The sequence below is a fragment of the Homo sapiens genome, chromosome 9 (genome assembly GCF_000001405.40).
Source record: "Homo sapiens chromosome 9, GRCh38.p14 Primary Assembly".
In the NCBI taxonomy this organism is placed as follows: domain Eukaryota; kingdom Metazoa; phylum Chordata; class Mammalia; order Primates; family Hominidae; genus Homo; species Homo sapiens.
The window spans coordinates 61,932,030-61,958,758 of record NC_000009.12 but is presented as its reverse complement, the minus strand read 5'-3'; the positions used below and the strand labels follow the sequence as shown (position 1 = coordinate 61,958,758).

The 26,729-nt window shown below is 43.9% G+C and overlaps 1 long non-coding RNA gene across 5 annotated transcripts in view; it reads right to left on the bottom strand.

Annotated features, from left to right (window-relative positions):
- LOC107987007 (uncharacterized) overlaps window positions 1–26,729 on the bottom strand; it is a 70,552-nt gene that overhangs the window by 22,863 nt on the left and 20,960 nt on the right. The window contains exon 3 of one of the 5 annotated variants that reach the window (XR_007061536.1): window positions 4,401–5,786. The exons of 3 other annotated variants lie outside the window; for them this stretch is intronic. This is a non-coding gene — a long non-coding RNA (uncharacterized LOC107987007). Of the gene's footprint in view, window positions 1–4,400; window positions 5,787–21,414; window positions 21,730–26,729 lie in introns of those variants that run through there. One more of the 5 variants, XR_002956859.2, reaches the window with a different exon arrangement.

The window sequence follows — 26,729 nt, the reverse complement described above, 5'->3', positions numbered from 1 at the left end:
GGGAGGCTGAGGCGGGAGAATCGCTTGAACCCAGGAGATGGAGGTTGCAATGAGCCAAGATCACACCACTGCATTCCAGCCTGGGTGACAAGAGTAAAACTGCGTCAAGAAAAAAAAAAAAAAATTGGCCTTGGGCGTTTCTTTAGGTTGGCTCCTGTGTTCTATTTATAGCATGCCTTTATCAGGGGGTTGGGGTGTGGGACTAATTACCAACTTTCTGGCACATAAAGTGTTTTGATTCATCTGGTATTTTCCCTGACCCAGACGTGGAATAAACCATTTATTTAAAGATCCTTGGCTTCTTTCATTGAAAAGTATTATTTACAAAGCACCAAAATCTTGGGCTGGGTGAGGTGGCTCAGGTCTGTAATCTCAACACTTTGGGAGGCTGAGGCAGGAGGATCCCTTGAGGCCAAGAGTTTGAGACAAGCTTGGGCAATGCAGTGAGACCCCCATCTCTATTTTTAAAAACCAAACAAAAACAAAATCGCCAAGATCGGGGTGACACGTGTGCTCATTGCTATGGGTGTGTCATTGCTTCTAGGCCCTCTTAGTGGGCAGAACTAGGAAATATATTGTACGTATACTAACACACATGCCACATGCCTAATTTGTATATTTATTTAGCCTTACTGGAAGCATTCTTTTTTTTTTTGAGACAGGGTCTCACTCTGTCACCTAGGCTGGAGAGCAGTGGCATAATCTCAGCTCAATGCAACCTCCACCTCCCAGGTTCAAGTGATTCTCCTGCCTCAACCTCCTGAGTAGTTGGCACTACAGGTGCGTGCCACCATGCCTGGTTAATTTTTGTATTTTTAGTAGAGACGGGGTTTCACCATGTTGGCCAGGCTTGTCTGGAACTCCTGACCTCAGTGGATCTGCCCGCCTTGGCCTCCCAAAGTGCTGGAATTACAGGCATGAGCCTCTGTGCCTGGCCAAGCATTTTTGGTGGGAGTGATATTGCCCCTAAGAGGGTGAACATTGGTTATTGAAGGTAAAATGAATTATAGTTGTTGCAATGGTTTGTGGCCTTCCACAATTTTTTTTTTTTTTTTCCGGAGAGGGAGCCTCACTCTGTCACCCAAGCTGGAGTGCAGTGGTGCAATCTCTGCTCACTGCAACCTCTGCCTCCTGGGTTCAAGCGATTCTCCTGCCTCAGTCTCCCAAGTAGCTGGGATTACTGGCACACACTACCACGGTCAGCTAATTTTTGTATTTTTTGTAGAGACGGAGTTTCACCATGTTGGCCAGGCTGGTCTAGAACTACTGATCTCAAGTGATCTGCCTGCCTCGGCCTCCCAAAGTGCTGGAATTACAAGTATAAGCCACCATGCCTGGCCTATTGCACAAAATTTTACACCTTGGTATTTAATTTCTCTCAAATATGATGGGCAGCATTAATCATTTTATGGAAGATAAAAAAATCCAAGCAAGATCAGGCCATGCACGGTGGCTCACACCTGTAATCTCAGCACTTTGAGAGGCCAAGGAAGGTGGATCACTGAAATTCAGGAGTTCAAACCAGCCTGGCCAACATAGTAAAACCCTGTGTCAACTAAAAATACAAAACAATTACCCAGAAGTGGTGGCACCTGCCTGTAATCCCAGCTACATGGGAGGCTGAAGCACGAAAATCGCTTGAACCCAGGAGGCAGAGGTTGCAGTGAGTGGATCGTGCCACCGCCCTTCATCCTGCGTGACAGAGCGAGCCTCCACCTCAAAAAAAAAAAAAATCTTTGCAAGATCAGTGCTACAAAATGATGGCAAATTGATGGCTATACCTGGAAGACTTTTTCTTGATTGAATGCTCTATCCCAAAGTTATATGAGAGGTGGTCTGTGTGTGTCTGTCTATTGGCTGCCTTGTGGATAGTATTTATGATTGATCCTCAGTGCTTTGGGAATTATGTAAAATAGTTTATATTATGAAAGTAATTCAACCTAGCATTAATTGTGTTAAGTGTTGAAAATGAAAAGTGTTGACTACATCGGAATGAATGAATATCTGGCCAACTGGTTTTGTTTTTTTGTTTGTTTGTTTTTGTTTTTAGAGATGGAGACTCACTCTGTTGCCCAGGCTGGAATGCAGACATGATCTTGGCTCACTGCAACCTCCACCTCCTGGGTTCTAGCAAGTCTCCTGTCTCAGCCTCCCGTGTAGCAGGGACTACAGGTACTTGCCCCCACACCCAGGTAATTTTTTGTATTTTAGTAAAGACGGGGTTTCACCCTGTTGCCCAGGCTGGTCTTGAAATCCTGAGTTCAGGCAATCCACCCACCTCAGCCTCCCAAAGTGCTAGGATTACAGGTGTGAGCCACCGCGCCCAGCCTAGCTTACAGTTTTATTGAAAACCCCATTTAACTCAAAACAGCTTTTTTCTTATAAATAATAGTTTTTGTTTGTTTTTTGTTTGTTTTTACAAACGGCTATGAAATCAAGATTTGTGGATCATCAATAAAAGAAACATCCTGATAAAGTCAAGAAACAGAATATTTAAAAAGTTTAAAATAGAATTTTGAACTGTAACACTGTTACTTCTTATTTAAGAAGGACAAGCCGTGGGGTGAGGTGGCTCACACCTGTAATCCCAACACTTTGGGAGGCCGAGGTGGGTGTATCACATGAGCCCAGGAGTTGGAGACCAGCCTGGGTAATATGGTGAAATCTTGTCTCCACTAAAAACACAAAAACTAGCCTGGCATGCTGTGTGCACCTGTAATTCCAGGTACTCGGGAGGCTGAGGCAGGAGACTCGCTTCAACCTGAGAGGTGGAGGATGCAGTGAGCCGAGATTGCAGCACCATGCTCCAGCCTGGACTATAGAGCAACACTCGGTATAAAAAAAAAAAAAAAGGATAAGCAAACAAATTATGATGAAATAATTGCCTTATAAAATTGCAGAAATAGGCCAGGCGTGGTGACTCATGCCTGTAATCCCAGCAATTTGGGAGGCCGAGGCAGGCGCATCACCTGAGGTCGGGAGTTTGAGACCGGTCTGGCCAACATGGTGAAACCCCGTCTCTACTAAAAATACAAAGTTAGCCGGGCGTGGTGGCACACGCCTGTAATCCCAGCTACTCGGGAAGCTGAGGCAGAAGAATCACTTGAGTCCTGGAGACGGAGCTTGCAGTGAGGTGAGATCATGCCACTGCACTCCAGCCTGGCTAACACAGCGAGACTCTGTCTCAAAAAAAAAAAAAAAGAAAAAAAGAAAAGATTACAGAAATCATTGTAAAACCCCATAGTGCTTTGTACTTGCTGAAACTGTCACAAGACTCACATGAGAGACGGTAACTTCAATAGTGATGTAACACATTACCACTATTTCACAATCACTCCTATTGAGCAATAATTCAATTCAAAGATGCATTAATGAGATGTCAGGTAATACCAAAGAGTAGCTGATTAATCAAGTAAGTTTCCTATTCAGATCAATGAAATCAGTTACTGAGAGTAAGGCCTGACAATAGGACATGTTTGTTATTTCAATAATGACTGCAAACTAAAAGAAGAGATATTGTTTGTAAAATCTTTAGACGCTGACCATACCAGAGTATCTATTCTTGCTGCTATAAAAACTTGGTTTGGGGCTGGGTGCAGTGGCTCACGCCTGTAATCTCAGCACTATCATTTTCTCATATGAATCGGAAAATGCTGACTTCTACATCCTAAATCTAAACTAATTCCCCACTCACTTGCTAAGCTTCAGTCACACCAGGCTGCTTTCTGTTTCCGGAACGCTCCAAGCGCTCTCTGATTTTTCAGGGTCTTCAGTGTAACTGTGCCTCTGCTTGGAATACCCTTCCACACTGCTGGCTCCTCACCACCAAAACTCGAGGGTTATCTCTCAGACACCCGTCCTATCAATGCTACGGGAAGTATCCCTCAAGTTACTGCCTATACCACCTATTGATATATTTCATAGTATTTATCACAATATAAAATTACTTCATCTTCCCCTTTTAATTTAAAATCTTTTTTTTTCTCCAGACTAGAATGTAAACCTCATGTGGGCAGCAGACATGTCTGCTTACTTATTTTTTGAGACGGAGTCTCGCTCTGTCACCCAGGCTGGAGTGCAACGGCGCGATCCCGGCTCACTGCAACCTCCACCTCCCGGGTTCAAGCGATTCTGCTGCCCCAGCCTTCCAAGAAGCTGAGATTACAGGCGCCCACCAGGCCCGGCTAATTTTTATATTTTTAGTAGGGGAGCAGTCGGGCTCTGGACTACATTTCCCGGAGGATTCTGCGGGCCAATACCATGTCTCGCGAGATTTTGGCTTCCTCTTAGCCAGGTGGCAGAATCTTTCGCTGTGCCCAATTAGCTGCTGCCACGCCTTGGAGTCCGGAGTAACTTGGCCAGGCCGGCCCCGAGCGGAACTAGAGAAAGCTGAGGATGAGGAATCCGGCTCTGGTCCTTTTGTGTGTGGAGGGCTGAGGAGAGGAGTTTGCGTGTGTGATTGCGATGGTTGCCGTGGGTCTTCGTGGTCTGTGACTGTGGCTGTGTGGTGCTGACTCTGGGTGATCAGGTGGGCGCTTGTGACTGTGCGCGCTCGGAGTGGATGTGTGTGTCCTGGACGAGCCGCGTTGTGTGTGCGGATGTGGACAACCGGTGACTGTGTAGTGGGGGCTGCGTGTCCCAGGGTGGGTGTGTGACTTTGCGTGTGTGTGCAGTACTGTGTGTGCATGAGTTGCAGGTCTGTGGCTGTGCAGGTGCAACTTGTGTGGCCCCGTGGTCTGTGTGAGAGAGGAGAGTGTGATTGGCTGTGAGGCAGAGGGTAAGTGGATATAGGGAGGCATGTGTGCGATTGGAAATTTGTGTGTCCCCTTGAGAGAAAAAACCCTTTAGGGAGTTAGAGCGGGTCCTTGGTAAAACTCCTTTCAACAGAGAAACAGCCTGAAAAATCAGGCTGCAGGCACAGAGAAGGAAAACTAGCAAAGGGGGTTGTCCTAAAGACATTCCTCAGCTGCATTGATAAGGGACCGAGGCCCAACATAGAAATGCCTTTGTCCTTTGTGTGACCAGCGGGCTTCCAGGAAATAGTCGCTTTTTTGTGGGCATGTATATGGTGGGCTCTGTTAGATTTTGAAGGGAAGGTGAAGGTTAAAGAAAGAGAGAGAGTTGGCGGCTCTATGGAGGGGACCAACTAAATGCCAGAGCCCACTGCCGCTTACAGGCTGGAGTAATTATAGGCCTGGGCAGGAGGGATCTGGGCAGTATAGCTTGTTGCCTGGGAGAATGTTGATAAGGATGTTTCTTGGGCCTTTCCCCAGCAGGATGTGATAAGGAAGTCAGGCGGTTGGGGAGGATGTTTCTCGCAGCCCAAACCCCAGTGGAATGTTTCCCTCTGACCAGGGTCTGTGAAACGGTGGGGGCTTACAAATCGGTGCAGCTTGGACTAACAGGCTCTGGTGACCACTTTCCTTTTCTGGACATGCTTTGGACTGTGAGCCAAGCCTCTATGAATCATCACTTCAGCCCCTGATTGGTCCTGGGCCAAACTTTCACTTCAGCCCCTGATTGTTCTTGGGCCAAAATTTCACTTCAGCCTCTGGTTGGTCCCAAGCTAAGGTCCCGGGCCAAGCGAAGTTGTGCTTTCTCCAAGACAGCTCACAGACTAGTGAGCACATTCTTCCCCTTCCCAGTTCACAAAACCCCCAGATTCAGCCTCCTAGTTGGCAACCCTCTTTCGGGTCCCCCCTCCGCTGGGGAGAGCTTTCTTCTTTTGCATATTAAACTTCTGTTCCAACCTCATCCTTTGTGTCCACGTTCCTTAACATTCTTGGCTGTGAGGGAAAGAAGGCAAAGACAAGAGCCTTTATCCTAACAACTCAATTGCTGGAGAGAAGATTCATGCATATTCTATGTGGCATCACATGCCATAGCCCTGGGATTGAAAGCCATGCAATTTAAGGGATGGTGTTAATCTCAGTCCAAATAGGTAATAAGATCTTGCACTTTGCTATATTTTAGGGGTAGGAATGAGATTGGGGGTTTGATCAATAATTTGTACCCATAGGACCAGTGATTCACCCAGTCATCTGTGAGTAAATGCTTGGGCCAGTTTCCATGTCTGTATTGAATTAAAAACTCATACGGTTCTGTGATTTTTGTCAAATACAGATTTGGTCTTTGTCCCTATTTCCTGGTATACAACTCCTAAAATCCTTGGAATGTCCTAAGGGCTTGCTTTTTTTTTTTTTTTTTTTTTTTTTTTTGAAACAGAGTCTTGCTCTGTAACCCAGGCTGCAGTGCAGTGGTGCAATCTCCACTCACTGCAACCTCTGCCTCCTGGGTTCAAGCAATTCTTCTGCCTCAGCCTCCCAAGTAGACTACAGGCATGTGCCACCATGGCCGGCTAATTTTTGTCTTTGTTTTCTTTTTTAGTAGAGATGGGGTTTCACCATATTGGCCAGTCTGGTCTCGAACTCCTGACCTCAAGTGATCTGCCTGCCTTGGGCTCCCAAAGTGTTGGGATTACAGGCATGAGCCACTGCACCCAGACTTTGGCTTTTTATATGTTAGGGATTGACCGATAGCTTCAGGATGTGGGCTGGTCATCAGAAAGACCAAGGCAGGATTAGAGGGCTGGGACTTTCAGCCCCTACCCTCCCACCCCTGGGGAGTGGAGGGGACTGAGGATTAAGTTGATGACAAGTGGCTAATGGTTTAATCAATCATGCCTATGTAATGAGGCCACCTTACAAACCCAAAAGGAGTGGATTCGGAGAGCTTCCAGAGAGCTGAACACATGGAGGTTCCTGGAGGGTCGTGCCCAGGGAGGGGATGGAATCTCTGTGCCCCTTCCCCCATACCTCACGCTAGGCATCTCTTCATCTATATCCTTTGGAATATCCTTGTAATCAAACAGTAAATGTGTTTCCCTGAGGTTTGTGAGCCATTTTATTCTAGCAAATTAATCAAACCCAAAGAGGGGATCGTAGGAACCCCAAATTAAATCTGTCAGTCAGAAGTTCCAGAGGCTAGGACTTGTGACTGGTGTCTGAAAGGGGGGCAGTTTTGGGGGCTGAGCTCTCAATCGGTGGGGTGACACTATCTCATGGTAGATAGTGTCAGAATCGAATTGGTGGATACCCAGCTGTTGTCTGCTGCAGAACTGATTCCTTGCTTGCTGATAGGAAGAAATCTCATATTTTGAGGCCACAGAAGTCTTCTGGGTAGATTGTTGTGGTTTTGGTGTGAAGCAGAGGAAGAACACAGGTTGAGTTTTTTCCAAATGGGTTCACATTGGGGGTCCTCAACCTCAAATCCATCAACTCCATCGCTGAATTTTTATTTATGTATTTATTTTTATTTTTGAGGTAGAGTCTCACTCTCTCTCCCAGGCTGGAGTGCAGTGGTACCATCTCAGCTCATTGTAGCCTTCATCTCCGATGCTCAAGTGATCCTTCTACCTCAGCCTGCCAAATAAGCTGAAACCAGAGGCACACACTAGCACTGTGGCATAATTAAAAATAATTTTCAGTAGATAAGAAGACTCACTATGTTATCTGGGCTGGTCTTGAACTCCTGAGTTCAAGTGATCCTCCCACCTCTGCCTCTAAAGTTCTATGATTACAGGCATGAGCTGTCTCACCTATCACTGATTTTCTTTTTCTTTTTTTCTTTTTCTTTCTTTCTTTCTTTCTTTTTTTTTTTTTGACAGAGTCTCACTCTGCCTTGCCCAGGCTGAACTGCAGTGGTGCAATCTTGGCTCACTGCAGCCTCCGCCTCCCGGGTTCAAGTGATTCTCCTGTCTCAGCCTCCTGAATAGTTGGGATTAGAGGTGCCCACCACCACACCTGACCAATTTTTGTATTTTTAGTAGAGACAGGGTTTCACCATATTGGCCAGGCTGGTCACGAACTCCTGATCTCAGGCGATCCACCTGCCTTGGCCTCCAAAAGTGCAGTGGCAGGATCAGGGCATACTGCAGCCTTGACCTCTGGGGCTGAAGGGATCCTCCCTCCTCAGCCTCCCAAGTAGCTGGATTATAGGCATATGGCACCATGCCAGGCTAATATTTGTAATTTTTGCACAGATGGGGTTTTGCCATGTTGCCCAGTCTGGTCTTGAACTCCTGAGCTCCAACAATCTTCCCAGCTGAGCCTCCCAAAGTGCTGGGATTACAGGGAAGAGCCACTGCACCCGGCCTATCACTGCATTTTTAAAGGGAAGGAGGACTATAGTGAGATTCACTAAGGCTTACAGAAAAGGTAGAACCCTAGATAGATTTAAACACAGAGATTATAATATCCTTGAGATGATAATATCCAAATTTAGCTTTCATAGATAGGGAAATTTGAAGTACTTCAGACTACAAGGTGGCATTTTGTGCAACTAGTTAAAACTATGTTTGAAAGAGAGCAATTGCATTTTCATTACTGAATAATATTAAGCAACAATGAAAATAAATAGAAATAACCAAGAAATTGTTATATTTAAATCCTCCTTCCTTTTTTGGAAAGAGAAGTATTGATATTTTTAGGTTCTAATCAAAACTTCTCCTTTAAAAAAATTGATGATTCTGTGGAGATAGGGAGGGAATAACCTGTGTTTATTGAACACCTAATATTCCACTTACCCAAATGTCATTTATTCTATATTCTAGTTTTTTTGTTGAGACAGGGTCTTTCTTGCTCTGTTACCCATCCTAGAGTGCAGTGGGGTTGTCACAGCTCACAGATGTATACCACCATGCCTGGCTTATTATTTTATTTTATTTCATTTTATTTATTTTATTTTATTTTATTTTATTTTATTTTGTTTATTTTATTTTATTTTATTTATTTTATTATTTTATTTTATTTTATTTTATTTTATTTTATTTTATTTTATTTTATTTTATTTTTGCAGAGACTATGTCTCCCTATATTTCCCAGGCTTGACTTGAACTTCTGGGCTCAAGCGATCCTCCTGCCTTGGCATCCCAAAATGCTGGGATTATAGGCATAAGCCACTGTACTCAGGCAATATTAAAGTCTTGATATTAGAAGTGTCTCAGTGTACTGGAAAGCTTTGTCTAAATTTTGAAAAAATATTAAAAAACACATTGGTTTTATTTGGCCAATACTGATTTCTTTGCTCCATCATTATTTATTGGCATTATTAGCCTGTTGACTTTCAATTTCTTTACATCCCTTTCACTCCATTTCTTTTATTTTGTCCCCCAAATAGAAATTCTTTTTTTTTTTAGATGGATTCTCGCTCTTGGCTCTTGTGACCCAGGCTGGAGTGCAGTGGTGCAGTCTCATCACTGTAATCTTCATCTTCCAGGTTCAGGCAATTCTCCTGCCTCAGCCTCCACAGTAGCCTAGATTACAGTCATGCGCTACTACACCCCGCTAATTTTTTGTATTCTTTCTTTTTTTTTTCTTTGAGATGCAGTTTCGCTCTTGTTGCCCAGGCTGGAATACAATGGCATGAACTCTGCTCACTGCAAATTCTGCCTCCCAGGTTCAAGCGATTCTCCTGCTTCAGCCTCCCAAGTAGCTGGGATTAGAGAGTGATCCACCACACCCGACTAATTTTTGTATTTTAGTAGAGACAGGGATTTGCCATGTTGGACAGGCTGGTCTGGAACACCTGATCTCAAGTCATCTGCCTGTCTTGGCCTCCCAAAGTGCTGGGATTACAGGCATGAGCCACTGTGCCCGGCTTTTTTGTATTTTTATATTTATTTATATTTTGATAGAGAGTCTCACTCTGTTGCCCAGGCTGGAGTGCAGTGACACAGTCTTGGCTCACTGCAACCTCTGCCTCCCAGACTGAAGTGATTCTCCTGCCTCTGCCTCCCGAGTAGCTGGTATTACAGGCACCTGCCACCACGCCTGGCTACCTTTTGTATTTTAGTTAGAGACAGGGTTTCACCATGTTGGCCAGGCTGGTCTTGAACTCCTGACCTCAGGTGATCTGCCCACCTTGGCCTCCCAAAGTGGCCTTGCTTGAGGCCAGGAGTTTGAGGCCAGCCTGGCCAACATGGTGAAACCTGCTCTCTACCAAAAATACCAAAAAAAATTAGCCGGGTATGGTGGTGTGTGCCTGTATTCCAAGCTACTTTGATGGCTGAGTCACAAAAATCACTTGAACCCAGGAGGCAGAGGTTGCAGTGAGCTGTGATCACCTCACTGCTCTGTAGCCTGGGTAACAGATTGAGACTTGTCTCAAAAAAAAAAAAAATTCTTGGCAGGACATGGTGGCTCACACCTGTAATCCCAGCATTTTGGGAGGCCAAGGTGGGTTGATCCCCTGAGGTCAGGAGTTTGAGACCAGCCTGACTAACATGGAGAAACTCCATCTCTCCTAAAAATACAAAATTAGCTGGGCGTGGTGGTGCGTGCCTTTAATCCCAGCTACTCGGGAGTATGAGGCAGGAGAATCACATGAACCCAGGAGGCAGAGGTTGCAGTGAGCCGAGATCACACCACTGCACTCCAGCCTGGGCAACAAGAGCGAAACTCCATCTCAAAAAAAGAAAAAAAATCTTTACTTTGGATGAATACTTAGAAATGGAATTTCCAGGTCGGCCTTTAGATATTATTAATGGATTTAATATGAAAAACCTTTACTTGAGGATGTATAAAGCTTTAAAAGACAGGGTCCCTGCTCTTAAGCTATAAATAAAGCAGCATTTGTAAGGTAATATTCAGAAAACATCAGATAATATCCTATAAAGTCCTCCTGTTCATGCTGATGACATTAGATGGCCAGTTAAGGATGACACTTCATTCTTTCCCCTGCAACCACGGTCCTGACATGTCTAAATGATACTGGCCCTATGAGAACACTGTGGATGTGAAATCATTTCCTCAAGTTATCTTTTTGGCCTGCTGGTTTTAATCTAATAATGGGATATCCAAAGTGAATCTAACGGAGTGGCATGATTGTGCATCTGTTGGGGTGAATCAGAGACAGCTAGAGCAAGGGCAGACACGTGCTAAATTCATCTGTCTTAAGAGCTGAAGCAAGCAGCAGTGTTGCTAGCAGAGCTACTGCACATCTGTACACGTGGCTCCAATGGCTCTGACCTGTTTTTTTCCTAGTATGAACCTAATACACGAGACAAGTTAAAAAATCAGAGTTGGCCAGGCATGGTGGCTCATGCCTGTAATCCTAGTACTTTGGGAGCCAATGTGGATGGATCACTTGAGGCCACGATTTCGAGACCAGCCTCGGCAACACAGTGAAACCCCATCTCTACTAAAAATACAAAAATTAGGTGGGTGTGGTGGCAGGCACCTGTAATCCCAGCTATGGGAGGCTGAGGTTGCAGTGAGCCAAAATCAGGCCACTGCACTTCAGCCTGGTTGACAGAGCAAGGCTGTCTCAAGAAAAAAAAAAAAGGGAAAGGAAAGGAAAGAAAATCACAGCTTGTTAGCCACTTGCAGCTAAACACATATGCACAAAAATTATTCAGTAAAAGCAAAACAGTTTTGGTGTATCTTGAGATTTTGTTTTATATCCAAAGGAAGACTATATCTTTCATCTTTGAACTAGTCTTTGGAAAATGCCGTCTATATAACAAATGTTATAGTTTTCTTCTAATTGGGTCTTGAGGTCTCTCAGGAGAATGGCTATAAACTCTACCTCACTCTAATGGGGCTCTAGGGGAGGGGCCTGTGGGTCTTTAGAGTAGCCTTTCACCAGAAATTTCTTTTTTCTGGACCACAGCCTAATGCTCAAGTATCTGACCCATGACCAGGTGTCTCACAGGAAACTTGTTTATACTAGCAGATGGCCTTGTAACTTTTGTCTGACCTGTGTGCAGTTTATTCCTACCATGATACCACTCTTTTTTTTTTTTTTTTTTTGAGACGCAGTCATGATGACCAGGCTGGAGTGCAGTGGCACGACCTTGGCTCACTGCAATCTCCACCATCTGGGTTCAAGCAATTCCCCTGCCTCAGCCTCCCAAGCAGCTGGGACTACAGGCTTGCACCACCATGCCCAGCTAATTTTTGTATTTTTAATAGAGTCAGAGTTTCACCATGTAGTCCAGGATGGTTTTGATCCCTTGACCTCATGATCTGTCCTACTCAGCCTCCCAAAGTTCTGGGATTACAGGCATGAGCCACCACACCTGGCCTTTTTTTTTTTTTTTTTTTTTTTTGAGACAGGATCTTGCTCTGGTGCCTAGGCTGGAGTGCAGTGGCAGGATCAGAGCTCACCACAGCCTTAACCTCCTAGGCTCAAGCAATCCTCCCACCTCAGCCTCCCAAGTAGCTGGGACTAGAGGCATGTCCCACTACATCTGGCTAATTTGTATATGACATATGTTTTTGTAGAGGTAGGGTTTTGCCATGTTGCCCAGGTTGATCTTGAACTCCTGAGCTGAAGCAATTCACCTGCCTTGGCCTCCCAAAGTGCTTTGATTACAGGTGTGGGTTACCACACCCAGCCAATGTACATTTAATTATCAAAGTACTATCTATACTATTTTATGGAAGTACTAATTATCAAAGTGCAATAGAGGTTTTGTTGTTGTTGTTGTTGTTGTTTTTCTTTTGAGACAGAGTTTCACTCTTATTGCCCAGGCTGGAGTGCAGTGGTGCAATCTCGGCTCACTGCAACCTCCACCTCCCAGGTTCAAGCGATTCTCCTGCCTCAGCCTCCCAAGTAGCTGGGATTACAGACATGTGCCACCACACCCAGCTAATTTTATATTTTTAGTAGAGACTAAAATGGTCTCTCCATGTTGGTCAGTCTGGTCTTGAACTCCTGACCTCAGGCGATCCATCCGCCTTGGCCTACCAAAGTGCTGGGTTTGCAGGTGTGAGCCACTGTGCCCGGCCAATAGAGGTTTTCAAACTTTTTGTAGATATTTTTGAAAGATACAGTCTTCCTTTAAGAAAAGAGACAAGGCTGGGTGTGGTGGCTCATCCCTGTAATCCCAGCACTTTGGGAGGCCAAACAGGTGGATTGCTTGAGCTCAGGAGTTTGAGAGTAGCCTGCCCAAATGGCAAAACCTCGTTTCTACTAAAAATACAAAACAAATTAGCTGGGTATGGTGGCGCATGCCTATAGTCAAAGCTAATACAGAGGCTGAGGTGGGAGGAACACCTGAGCCTGGGAGGTTGAGGCTGCAGTGAGCTGTGATTTTGCCACTGCACTCCAGCCTGGGCAACAGAACGAGACCCTGTCTCAAAGTGAAAACAAAAACAAAAACAAAAAAATGAAACAAGAGAAAAAAAAAACAAGAAAGAAAATGGTAAGGGGGAAGTGCCTATTTATTAAGCTTTTGTTGTAAATAGTAACTTGCATATCAGATGTTTACTGTAATATTCTTGAAGCCTTGCCAGGCCTACAGCTTGCTGTGTGCTTTTCAACTCTATTTCATTTATTTGGGAAATCATATATCAATGTATTTATTCATTCCCAGCTCTAACCATGGAATACTGGGAATGTCCCTTTCTATGAAGGAGGTTTGCTGGCCACAACAGGAATATTCATGAACATGGAGGTACTTTGTTGAAGTTACACTAATTTTTTTACTCTTCCCCACTCTCAGCCTAGCTGGTCTGCTCACTGTATTCTCTCCATGCTTCAGCACCCTTCCATCTCTTCCTTCATCTTAAAAATCTTTCCTTTAATTTCAACAGTGCTGCCTGGGTTTGTCATTTCAGGGGTTGGGCATGTTCCAGGATCTGTCTATAGACTTCTCTCAGGAGGAATGGGAGTGCCTGGACGCTGCTCAGAAGGACTGATACAGAGATGTAATGATGGAGAACTATAGCAGCCTGGTCTCACTAGGTAAGGATGTCTATCCCCAAATAACTCATGAATTTTGGGTGTAGCTTCCACTTGTCTGGGTGACTTTTCACCTGCTGCTTAGGGAATTGTTTTGTGTTTTGTAGATTAATAGATGGGCAGCTCTTTGGGGTCCCTCCATCTTCTCCATGCTTCAGACCTTTACACCTTCCTCTAGTCCTTCGTGACTACTAAGGGACTAACTTTGAATTCAGGAACAGCACGAGTATGTCTTACTTTTCTTTCTTTCTCTCTTTTTCTTTCTTTCTTTCCTTCCTTCCTTCCTTCCTTCCTTCCTTCCTTCTTTCTTTCTTTCTTTCTTTCTTTCTTTCTTTCTTTCTTTCTTTCTTTCTTTCTTTCTTTTTCTTTCTTTCTTTTTTGAGATGAATTCTCACTCTATCACCCAGGATGGAGTGCAATGGCACGATCTCGGTTCACTCCAACCTTCATCTCAGGTTCAAGCGATTCTCATGTCTCAGCCTCCTGAGTAGCTGGGATTACAGGCACCCGCCACCACACCTGGCCAATTTTTGTGTTTTTAGTAGAGACGGGGTTTCACCATGTTGGTCAGGCTGGTCTTGAACTCCTGACCTCAAGCAATCCACCTGTTTTGGCCTCCCAAAGTGCTGGGATTACAGGAGTGAGCCACTATGCCTGCCTGGCCACCTTACTTCTTTTCTTATAAACAGGTCTCTCTATCCCAAAGCCTGATGTGATTTCCTTACTGGAGCAAGGGAAAGAGCCCTGGATGGTTTCAAGGGACGTACCGGGAGGATGGTGCCCAGGTGAGTAAGGACTGAGCAGATGGGGAAGGCACTGCTGTTTAGAACCCAGCCCATCAGGGAGGCAGCGCCGTAAAGGTATTGGTTGGGGAATCTCTTCTGCAAGGTCCCACGTAAGAGTTGTGGCCTAAGACACATGGAGAAAAGTCAAGATACCACCCCCCCCCCCAACAAACACACTCTTTTTTAAATTTTTTTTTTAATTTGAGAGAGAGTCTTGCTCAGTCACCCAGGCTGGAGAACAGTGATGCGATTTTGGCTCACTGCAACCTCCGCACCCAGGTTGAAGCGATTCTCCTGCCTCAGCCTCTAAAGGAACTGGCATTATAGGCACCTGCCACCATGCCCAGCTAATTTTTGTATTTTTAGTAGAGACGGCATTTCACCATGTTGGCTAGGCTGGCCTCGAACTCCTGACCTCAGGTGATCCACCTGCCTTGGCCTCCGAAAGTGCTGGTATTACAGGTGTGAGCCACTGTGTCTGGCCGAGAACCCCCTTTTACCTCCACCTCTTCAGTCTGTGCTACCCTCTTGTCATAATTTCTTTCCATTTCAAAGAATAACATTCCCTTCTTCAGAAGCCATCCTGTTTCCTCTATCTTGGAGCTACTTCTTTCACTTTAAAATTTAAACCCGTGTTGTTGCTTTAAAAACAAATCTTTTAAAATATATTTATTTTTCATACTGATCCTTGACTTTTTTTTGCCTTGTATTTTCTTGGCTAGTTTTCCTTTAATGCAGCCACTTCATGCATCAATAGATATTCATTCACTATTTTTTTTTTTTTGGATACAGAGTCTCACTCTGTAGCCCGGGCTGGAGTGCAGTGCGCGACCTCGTCTCACTGAAAGCCAATAAGAAGAGCTTGGGGATGACCTCCCTACAAGCACAGCAAAACCTTTCCTGCGCATTTCTGCGCTGGAACGCCTACGCGCCTCGCCAAACCAAAACTTTACTACCACCCTTAGTGCCGTTTCCTGCACTTTCTTGGAGAGTTGTACCAGGTGCTGGAGACCCTCCCACCTGGTCCATGCCCGCCTCCCGGTGAGCACCGAGACACAAACTTGTGCACTGCCAGTCTTGTTATCAACAAACAGGCTAGTAAATTATAAAAAATAAAATAAAGGAAATGTAGCTGGGCGTGGTGGCATGCGCCTGTAATCCCAGCTACTCCGGAGGCTGATGCAGGAGAATCGCTTGAACCCAGGAGGTGAAGGTTGCAGTGAGCCGAGATCGCACCACTGCACTCCAGCCTGGATGGCAAGAGCAAAACTCCTTCTCGAAATAATAAATAAAATAAAGGAAATGGGGCCGGGCATGGTGGCTCACGCCTGTAATTCCAGCACTTTTAGTGGCCGAGGCGGGCGGATCACTTGAGGTCAGAAGTTCGAGACCAGTCTGGTCAACATGGTGAAACCCTGTCTCTACTATAAATAAACAATTAACCAGGCATGGTGGTGGGCGCGTGTAATCCCAGCTATTTGTAAGGCGGAGGCACAAGAATCGCTTGAATCCCAGAGGCAGAGGTTGCAGTGAGCCGAGCTCGTGCCACTGCGCTCCAGCCTGGGCGACAGAGCGAGACTCCATCTTAAAATAAAATAGGCCGGCTGAGGGTGCTCATGCCTGTAATCACAGCACTTTGGATGCTGAGGCGGGTGGATTGCCTGAGCTCAAGATTTCAAGGCCATCCTGGCCTACATGGTGAAACCCCATCTCTACTAAAAATGCAAAAATTAGCCGGGCATGGTGGAGCATGCCTGTAATCCTAGCTACTTGGGAGGCTGAGGCATGAGAACCGTTTCAACACAGGAGGCGGAAGTTGCAGTGAGCGGCGACCGCCACATTGCACTCCAGCTTGGGCAAGAGGATTGAAACTCTGTCTCAAAAAAAAAAAAAAAAAAAAAAAAAAAAAAAACAAATAAATAAATATAAAAGAAATAGACAAAGCAAACCTTAATGCATGAACTCAAACAAATGCTTTCACTGCCAGGCTCCATCTTTGCAAAACTGAACCTAGGACAATGTGCACGTTTCTAACTAGCAATTCTGGAGGATCAGGGAGGCAGCGTGAGCTTGCTTTTCTGCAATTTAATTGACTGGTCAGTAAAGTCAGTGTTTGCAGGCATTTTCAATGTTCTGTAGTGGGCTTCAGTTCCTATGGCAGTGTGGCAGGCCAGGTTTCCAATAGCAACCAGAACAGTTTCTACTAACCCTTTACTATAATTTTGATGAATGCATAAGTTAACGTTAAAGAAACGGAGAAACTTGTGCCTGAGTATCAGGGATGGAATGTGAAAACAAACCCATTGAGACCCCACCTGGGTTTTCTCAGACCCTAAAGTCTGATCGAATAATGATAGCATTGGTACACATTCACCTCGGCCTGTCTTAAGATTCAGAAACTTTCCAAGACTCTAGAGAAATCTTTCCAGACGCTAGACCCGAGTTAAAGATAAGATGTTGATTGAATGAAACACTCCTACTTGTAGGTGCAATCCCACGTGGAGCTTAAGACGTATATAAGCACTAGAAAAAAAAAACTTGTAACTTTGAGTTGATCTGGTGAATTACCTGGCGCTTCTCCCTGTAAGTGGCTGCAGAAATAAACTTCCTTCTTTCCCAGTCTGTCTGTGTCTTGTTATTGAACAATTGCAATGGACCTGCCCAGCAAAGTCCTCTTTTGTGTGGTTATCTGGGACTCCTTTTGGAGGGAACATTTAAAATTTTCCATTTCAAAGCATTCTGTTGGCACTCTTACACTGTTTTTCTCTGCCTACCCTCGGACCTGAGTTCTCCTGGACGCGAATCTCCAGCCACAGAGCCTAGAAGCCCATTCCTCCACATTCTGTGACTGTTCCCCAAACACAGGGAGAATTTTCAGAAAATAAGCCTAAAAATCTTGCCATTCTTTGCAATAAAACCCCACATTACAAACTGCTGAAAACAGGATTTTAGCCTGAATAGGTTTTTCCTCTATTTGAAACCCTTTACAATTTTGGAGGGAAGTTTCCAAATCAATCAGTAAGTACCCCCCATCCCAGGTTTATCCTTATGTAAAGTGCCCCCTTTGCACATGCAAGATTGAATAAACCTTGAAAATATTATGCTAAGTGAAAGAAGCCGGTCACAAAGGACCACATGTTATGTAATTCCATTTAAATAAAATGTCCAAAATAGACCAATACATAGAAGCAGAAAGTAGATTTGTGGTGGCCCAGGGTTAGGGGAGTTGGGGGGAAATGGAGGGATATGGTGTTTACTTCAGGGTAATGAAAATGATCTAAAATTTATTGTGGTGATGTTTGCATAACAGTGCAAATATACTGAAAAACATTGAATTTTACACTTTAAATCAGTGGCTTCTGTGGTATGTTATCAATATTTCTCAATAAAACTTCAAAAAAAAAAGCGCCTATGTGTCTTTTTGTGTATTATTCCTCCAGAGTCCAGTCCATAGTTTTTACATTTGATGAAGAAATTAAGATTTTGTTTCTTCTTCTTCTATTTTTTTTTTTTTTGAGACAGAATCTCCCTCTGTTGTCCAGACTGGAGTGCATTGGCACAATCTTGGCTCAGTGCAACCTCCAGGATAATTTTTGTATTTTTAGTAGAGACAGCGTTTCACCATGGTGGCTAGACTGGTCTCAAACTTCTGACCTCAAGTGAGTCCCCCACCTTGGTTCCCAAAATTGCTGGGATTACAGGCGTGAGCCACCGCACCCAGCCCAAGATTTAGTTTCCGTTGTTTTGATGCCCTAGGGCCATCTTATTCTACCTTAATTTCTGACGCATCATCTCAGTGGAAATTTTACATTAGGCCCCAAAGTATTTTCCTCTTTTTAAGATTTTATCAGCTGAGTACAGTGGCTCACACCTGTAATCTCAACACTTTGGGAGGCCAAGGTGGGAGAATGAGTTGAGCCCAGGAGTTCAAGACCAGTCTCTGCAACATAGTGAGACACACATATCTACAAAAAAAATTTTAATTAGGTGGGCATATTGGTGCATGCCTGTGGTCTCAGCTTACTACATAGGCTGAGGGAGGATCACTTGAGCCCAGGAGGCTGAGGTTACAGTGGCCATGATTATACCACTGCACTCCAGTCTGGGTGACAGAGCGATAGCCTGTCTTAAAAAAAAAATTATTGGAATTTTTTTTTTTAGAAAACAAAGTATACACTTAGTGACTTGATACAAATGAATGAATTTGATAATCTACAGAAAAAAACAAATAAATAAATAAAAACTCAATGCCATTCTTCTTATGTGAATCTCTGGTGTCTCTGAATTATAAGAATTGTGAATTATGATTAATAACAAAAATGCATGACAAGGACTCATTAAGGGATAGGCATTAATAAACTGCAATGCACACTTACTGGAGTAAGGCCTTTAAAGATGTACAAGAAAAAGAAAGAAAAGGCATTGAAAAATTGCGTTGCCTACCAAAACGCTAAAGTTTACCTAAGTCCATTAATCGGCACACACAGGCAATGGGTGTGTAAAAGGGTCAACACAGTCTCCTATGAATGTATCCTTTTATTAATAGGTCTGTGGGGGTAAGAGATGAAGTTCTATAGATCCTGGAATCAGGGATGGGGAATCTGTGAGGTCCCTGAGGTGAGAGATGACGATCTGTAGATTAGTGATGGGTGGTCTTTGGGATAGTGATGAGGTCCATGGAATCAATGATTGTGGGTATTTAGGGTCAGTGATGAGGGAATCTGGTGTCAGTGATGGGATGTGTGTGGAATCAATATGTGAAAGCCAGATTTGTGGAGTCATCTCTCAGGCTGACACATCCTGATCTGTGTGTCAGTGGTGGAAATTCTATGGGGTCAGAGTGTGACTGTCAGGTCCCTGACACTGTGTGTTCTGGGTCTGGCCAAGTGCACAGATTCCCTTGCCTTGTCCTGGCTGGGGAGGCCCTTCTCAAGGACTCCTCACATGAAGGGTGGGTTGGTGGTGGGTTTTGTTTTTGTTTTTGTTTTGCAGTGGAGGTGGGGGTGGGTTAGCTTTTTCTTTAGGGTTTAGTTTTGCCTCTTAGAGACCACAGACACATGCAGCTTTTAGGAAGAAATTTTTGTCTGGGTGGTTGCTAGGTCCTTTGGGCCAAGCCATCTAATGGGAGTAAAACTGACCATTCCCTCAGCGAGGTTCAGATCTAGACGGTCATTTTAAGGTGTCCTCAAGGTGGCGTGCAAGTGGGTTGTGGCTTCGAGTGGCAGGTGTGCGGGAAGAAACAACTGAGAAGACCCAGGAGCGCTCCTAGGCTGGATCTGTCACAGCTGGAAGAACAGCCTCCCAAACCCATCAGGCGCCAATGGGAGGTACCTCTGGGCTGTGAGAGGCTGGTGGAGTTGGGACCTCCAGACCTAGAGATTCTGGGTACAGAAGCCTATTACTGCCAGACGCTGAGGCGTTGCCATGGGATCCAAGGGCGTTTCGGGTCAGCTCAGAGCCTTTCTCAGATAATTGTTTCAGTAACTGGGGAGCTGCTGTCCAGCGCACGCCTCTATGAAGGCTTAATGTTCTGTCTCCCGCAGAGTCTTCTTTGGTCTGAGAGCCACTTGTTTCTTACATCCTTGTGCTAATCTCACCATCTGCTCCTACATACCCCAGGCATTTGCCACATGCTGGTCCTCTCTTTCCTGACAGGCGGGCCATCTCTCCAGCTTCTGTGAGGACAGTTCAAATTATGGAGGAGGGGGCAGGTGCAGGGCAGCAGTGCTGAGGGGAGTACCATGCAGTTGGGGGAGCAGGGACTCATTTTTCTTTGTAGCTCAGATTCCTAAGCCTGTGACTTTGAGTATCGGTGTCTTCCTTGCAATGTTTCAATCTGAGGTTATTGGGGAGAGTGCAGAATTGGAGCCCGATGGAAGACTGGTGGGGAGAGGGGTGGGTGGAGGGAACATGGAGAATGTGTCAGGTGGTGTCTATTCCTGACACCTTACTTTGCCTGCTGGAGTTTCCCAGTCTGTTCCAGATGCACTCTCTCGACCCTGAAGGGACCTGATGGAGGATGTTTGTTGCCAGTGTGTGCTCCCCTGGACTCAATTGGAATTGGTCCCACAAAGTGTTTTTATTTATTTATTTATTTATTTATTTATTTATTTATTTATTTATTTGAAGGGAGTCTCGCTCTGTCACCCAGGCTGGAGTGCAGTGTGGCAATCTCAGCTCACTGCAACCTCTGATTCCCAGGTTCAAGTGATTCTCCTGTTTCAGCCTCCCTAGTAGTTGGGACTACAGGTGTCCGCCACCACACCTTGCTAAATTTTTTATTTTTAGTAGAGGCAGGGTTTCACAATATTGGTCAGGCTGGTCTCGAACTCCTGACCAGGTGATCGACCCACCTTGGCCTCTCAAAGTGCTGGGATTACAGGCGGGAGCCATCACACCCCGCCAATCCCACAAATTTAGGCATTATGGTGAATTGCTACTTTTGAGTCACTTATTTTTTACTTGTGTTTTTCCCCCTCCTTTTATTGATTGATTGACACAGAGTCTTGCTGTGTCACCCAGACTGAACCACAGTGTCACAATCTCGGTTCATTGCAACCTCTGCCTCCCAGGTTCAAGCGATTCTCCCACCTCAACCTTCCAAGTAGCTGGGATTACAGGCGCATGCCATCATGCCTGGCTAATTTTTGTATTTTCAGTAGAGACAGGGTTTCACCATGTTGGCTAAACTGGTCTCGAACTTCTGACCCCAAATGATCCGCCTGCTTTGGTCTCCCAAAATGCTGACATAGGCATGAGCCTCCTTGCCCGGACTTCCCTCCTTTTCCTTCAGGGATTTTAAATGTTTTCTTTCCTCCATCTATTTAATTATATGTGATTTCCTTGAGGATTTCAGCTTGAATTAAAATTACATATATTTACCTGTCTTTATTAATATTTAAACATATTAAAATAATACATGTTCATAATGAAAATGAAACATTACAAATAAATACACAGGAAAGGCAGTATTCCCCCTCCAGTTCCACTCTTGAAATAACCAGTTAACAAGATGATGAGCAACTTTCCATGATGTTCTCCAAGATTCATGTAAGTATTGGCCAGCAAACAACAGAATATACAGGCCAGGCGTGGTGGCTCATGCCTGTAACCCCAGCACTTTGGGAGACTGAAGCGGGTGGATCTTTTGAGGTTAGGAGTTCGAGACTAACCTGGCCAACGTGGTGAAACCCCATCACTACAAAAAATACAAAAATTATTTGGGCACGGTGGTGAGGGCCTTAATCCCAGCTACTTGGGAGGCGGAGGCACGAGAATCTCTTGAACCCGGGAGGAGAAGTTTGCAGTGAGCCAATATCGCATTACTGCCCTCCAACCTGGATGACAGACTGAGATTCCATCTCAATAAATAAGTAAATACATAAAATAAATAGAAAAAAAGAAAAATGAAAGAAAGATAAAGAAAGAAAGAAAGAAGAAAGAAAGAAAGAGAGAAAGAAAGAAAGAGAAAGAAAGGAAGAAAGAAAGAAAAAGAGAGAAGTCGTGTGCTCAGGTTGCTAAGATCGATGGTAAGAACAAATCCTCTAGCGGTGAAAATGTAAGAAGGAAAAAGAAATTTCTGTTAGTCTTGTTTGTTGCACCCCAAGCTCTAAAAAGTACAGCCATATGTGTGATAAGTGCTTAGTTAAGATGAAAAAGGCATTAAATTTGTGAGTGGAAATCAAACAGAAATGTGTTCTGATTGAAAGCAATTGGGTCAATGCTACCCAAGTTTCAGGCATCCACTGCGGGTCTTAAACACATCTCCTGCAGATAAGGGAGGGCTATTATATAACGTTTCTTTCTTTTTTCTTTAATTATAAAGCATTCTCCTTTTTTAATATAAAAATTGGCCACATATATCACTTTAGGTATAAAGATATTAGGATACCTTTATAGTAGATAAAATGCTGACACATTCTTTGTAAGAGTTAAAGTATCTTTCATTATATGAGCATTTAAGATATTAAAGTACTTTTGCCACCAAAAATAGTGCTTCTGTAAATATTCTTTTACTTATAACTTTGTTAGTTTTTACTTCTGCTGAAACAAATTGCATGAGGAAACAAGTGTATGTGTGTAAAGTGTAATATATGTATATATATTTAATATGGGTATATACAACTTAATATATACACATACATACAATAACATATACAATTTTTTTGTTTTGTTTTTTGAGATAGAGTTTTGCTCTCTCATCCAGGCTGGAGTGCAGTGTCATGATCTCGGCTCACTGCAACTTCCACTGCTTGGTTCTCCTGCCTCAGCCTCCTGAGTAGCTGGGAATACAGGCATCTGCCACCATGTCCAGCTAACTTTGTTTTTTTAGTGGAGATGGGTTTTTACCATGTTGGCCAGGCTGCTCTCGAACTCCTGACCTCAAGTGATCCACCCACCTTGGCCTCCCAAAATGCTGGAATTACAGGTGTGAGCCACCGTGCCCAGTCTAACATATACAATTTAATGTATATACAAATATAGGTTGGGTGCAGTGGCTCTCACTCCTGTAATCCTAGCACTTTGGGGAGCTGAGGTAGGGGATTGTTTGAACCCAGGAGTTTGAAATCAGCCTGGGCAACATGGTGAAACCCTATCTGTACAAAAAACACAAAAATTAGCTGGGTGTACTTGCAGGTGCCTGTGGTCCCAGCTACTCAGGAGACTGAGGTGGGAGGATAGCTGGAGCCTGGGAGGTCGAGGCTGCAGTGAGTTGTGATCATGCCATTGCACCCCAGTGTGGGTGACAGAGTGAGACCCTGTCTCAGACAAAAACAAAAACAAACCAAATATGATGTTTATGTGCTACACACTTGATTTCTTTCCAAAGGGTTATATAACACTGTATTTTCACCAGCAATATATGCAACTACTCATTTCCTACATACTATCACTTGTGTGCAGTCAAGGAAACTTAGTAGGCCTGAATTGCCCAAACCTGGCATACTCCAAAGAATGGTGTGACTCTATCCTAGTTCCCAGGAAATAACCTCTAAGTCCTCGGACTCTCCTGCCTATCTGGGAGTTAACAACGTGATTTATTATGGGGACCTTGGACCATGCAGTCTCAGCTTGACCTTGGGAAGGGTGGAGACGGAGAAACTAATGTCATCCAAATGGGTGCTCTTGTCCATGTGACCAACCTCCAGTAAAATGCTCAACACCAAGGCTCAGGTAAGCTTTTTGTTGGGGAGTATATTCTATACTGTTTGCCAAATATCGCTGGGTGAATTAAGCACTGTCCACACGATGTCACTGGGAGAGGACAACTGGAAGCTTGTGCTTTGTCTCTCCTGGACTCTGCCCTGTGCACCTTTTTCTGCTGCTGATTTTAATCTGTATCTTTTCGTTGTAATAAACTATGAGTAAAACAGCTTCACTCGATTTTGTGAGTCTTTCTAATTAATCACTACACCTTTGGGACCTCAGAACACAATGTTGTTTCTTCTTTAATTGAATTTTCCATGTTATGTAAGAAACCTATGTGCATAAATGAAAAATCACAAACTAAGAAAGAGCTTTCCATGCAGTCTACTCCCCGACCCTGTTTCTCCAATACTCCCAGATCTACTTCCCGAATAATCAAATGTCTAAATTTTCTAAACTATTTCTAATCTATATATCTGAGTGCTTATCTCTATATTATATAATAGGTAGATCCTGCTCCTTCTCAATATATCAACTTGATATATTACCTGATGGCTTCCTGTTCTGATAGCTGATGACTTGGCTGACACTCACCCCTTACCCCAGTGCCTGGACCACTTTTCAAACATGGTGCTCTCACCATTTTCTTTTTCTTTCCTTTTCTTTTCTTTTTTTTTTTTTTTTTTTTAGACAGAATATTGCTCTGTCACCCAGGCTAGAGTGCAGTGGCATGATCTGGGCTCACTGCAACCTCTACCTCCCAGATTCAAGTGATTCTCCTGCCTCAGCCTCCAGAGTAGCTGGGATTACAGGGGCACGCCACCACGCCTGGCTAATTTTTGTATTTTTAGTAGAGACGGGGTTTCACCCTCTCAGCCAGGTTGGTCTCGAATGCCTGACCTCATGATCCACCCATCTTGGCCTCCCAAAGTGCTGGGACCGCACCCGGCCACTCTCACTATTTTCAATGGCTCTCTTGGTCACCTTTCACTTGGGGGAGTAGCTGAGGCAGGAGAATCACTTGAACCCGGGAGATGGGGGTTGCAATGAGCTGAGATGGTGCCATTGCACTGCAGCCTGGGCAAAACGGTGAAACTCTGTCTAAAAAATAAATAAATAAATAAATAAATAAATAAATAAAACAGAAAAGGAAAGAAAAGAAGCTCTCCCTCCATATACCTGTAAGGATCATTGTATTAATTTTCTTCATGTCTTAACATGATTCTTGCCTTGTCAGAGATCATCCTATCTGAAATTGAAACTATTTACCACTTCCCTTTTTTTTCCATAGCACTTAAAACTTTTTTTTTTTTTTTTTTGAGATGGAGTCTCGCTCTGTCACCCAGGCTGGAGTGCATTGGTGTGATCTTGGCTCACTGCAACCTCCGCCCCCCAGGTTCAAGTGATTCTCCTGCCTCAGCCTCCCAAGTAGCTGGGATTATAGGCATCTGCCACCATGCCTGGCTAACATTTTTTTTTGTGTGTGTGTGTTTTAGTAGAGACGGGGCTTCACCATGTTGGCCAGGCTGGTCTTGAACTCCTTACCTCAGGTGATCCAAACCACCTCGGACTCCCAAAGTGTTGGGATTACAGGGGTGAGCCACCACACCCAGCCCTGGCTAATTTTTGTATGTTTAGTGGAGGCAGGTTTTCACCATATTGGCCAGGCTGATCTCGAACCCCTGACCTCAAGTGATCTCCCTGCCTCGGCCTCCCAAAGTGTTGGGATTACAGGCATGAGCCACTGTGCCCGGACTGCTTTTTGACAAATCATCTCTGTTCTTACATTATGTCCACTAGAATGTAAACTTGATGAGAGCAGGAGATATTGTCAATTTTGTTCAATGCTATTTATCCCTAGAGCCTAGAACTGTACCATGCACATGGTAAGGAGACAAATAGTTGTTGAATGAATATATTGAGCAGCTGTTCTCAGACTTTTTGGTTTCAGAAAATCTTTACTCTCTGTTTCTTTACTCCCGACCTCAGGTGATCTGCCCACCTTGGCCTCTCAAAGTGCTAGGATTATAGGAGTGAGCCAAAACACCCACCACCCAAATAATTTTTGTATGGTAGTAGGCACTGGGTTTTGCCATGTTGGCCAGGCTGATCTTGAACCCCCGAACTCAAGCGATCCCCCACCTCAGCCTCCAAAAGTGCTGAGATTACAGGCTGAGCCACTGCACCTGACTAAATAAACCAAAAACTTTAGATAAGTGAATTTGGAGGAAATACTTATAACAGATAAAATGGACAAACAGATAATTCTAATTTACTGTCTCTCCGGCTTAATAAAATATTAGTCAATACCCTAAGAAGAAAGGAACAAAATCTAAAAATTCACCATTCACAAACACAGATAGTCAGAAAACAAAGTCAAAACCTAAGAACTTGTTGACCTTATGTCTCCTCTGAAATCAGCTCTTGAATGTAATGTGTTGAACTAGTATTGACCTCAGATTAGGAAATTTTTAAAATATTTTTTAAAGTTGCACTTTTTGGAATTTAAAATTAATCCAGATTATGTAATATATAACATTTGGAATTTACCAATCAATACTCTATCATTTTATTTTTCACTCTTCAAATAATTTCTTGTTCAAGAGTTTAAAATGCTTTTAAAATTAATAGAATCTGCAGGCTATGGTCTGTAGAGACTGTCTCTACAAAAAATAAAAATATATATTATTTTAAAATATATATAAAATATATATTTATTTAAATGTATATGTTTCAAGTATATAAAATATATTTTTAAAATTTCATTTTTTTGCCGGATCGTATGGTAAGCGTATGTTTAGTCTGGCAGGAACTTGCAAAACTGCCTTCCACAGTGGCTGACCCACTTTGCATTCTCAGCAGAAATAGAGATGAGTTCCTGTCGCTCCGTATCTTCACCAGCATTTGGTGTTGGTGTTTGCATTCAAGCCAGTCTAAGAGATGTGTAATGGTATCACATCGTTGTTTTAATTTGAATCCCCTAGTGACATACGGTGTTGAGCATCTTTTCAGAGGTCTAAGAAATGTGCTGGGCATGGTGGCACATGCCTG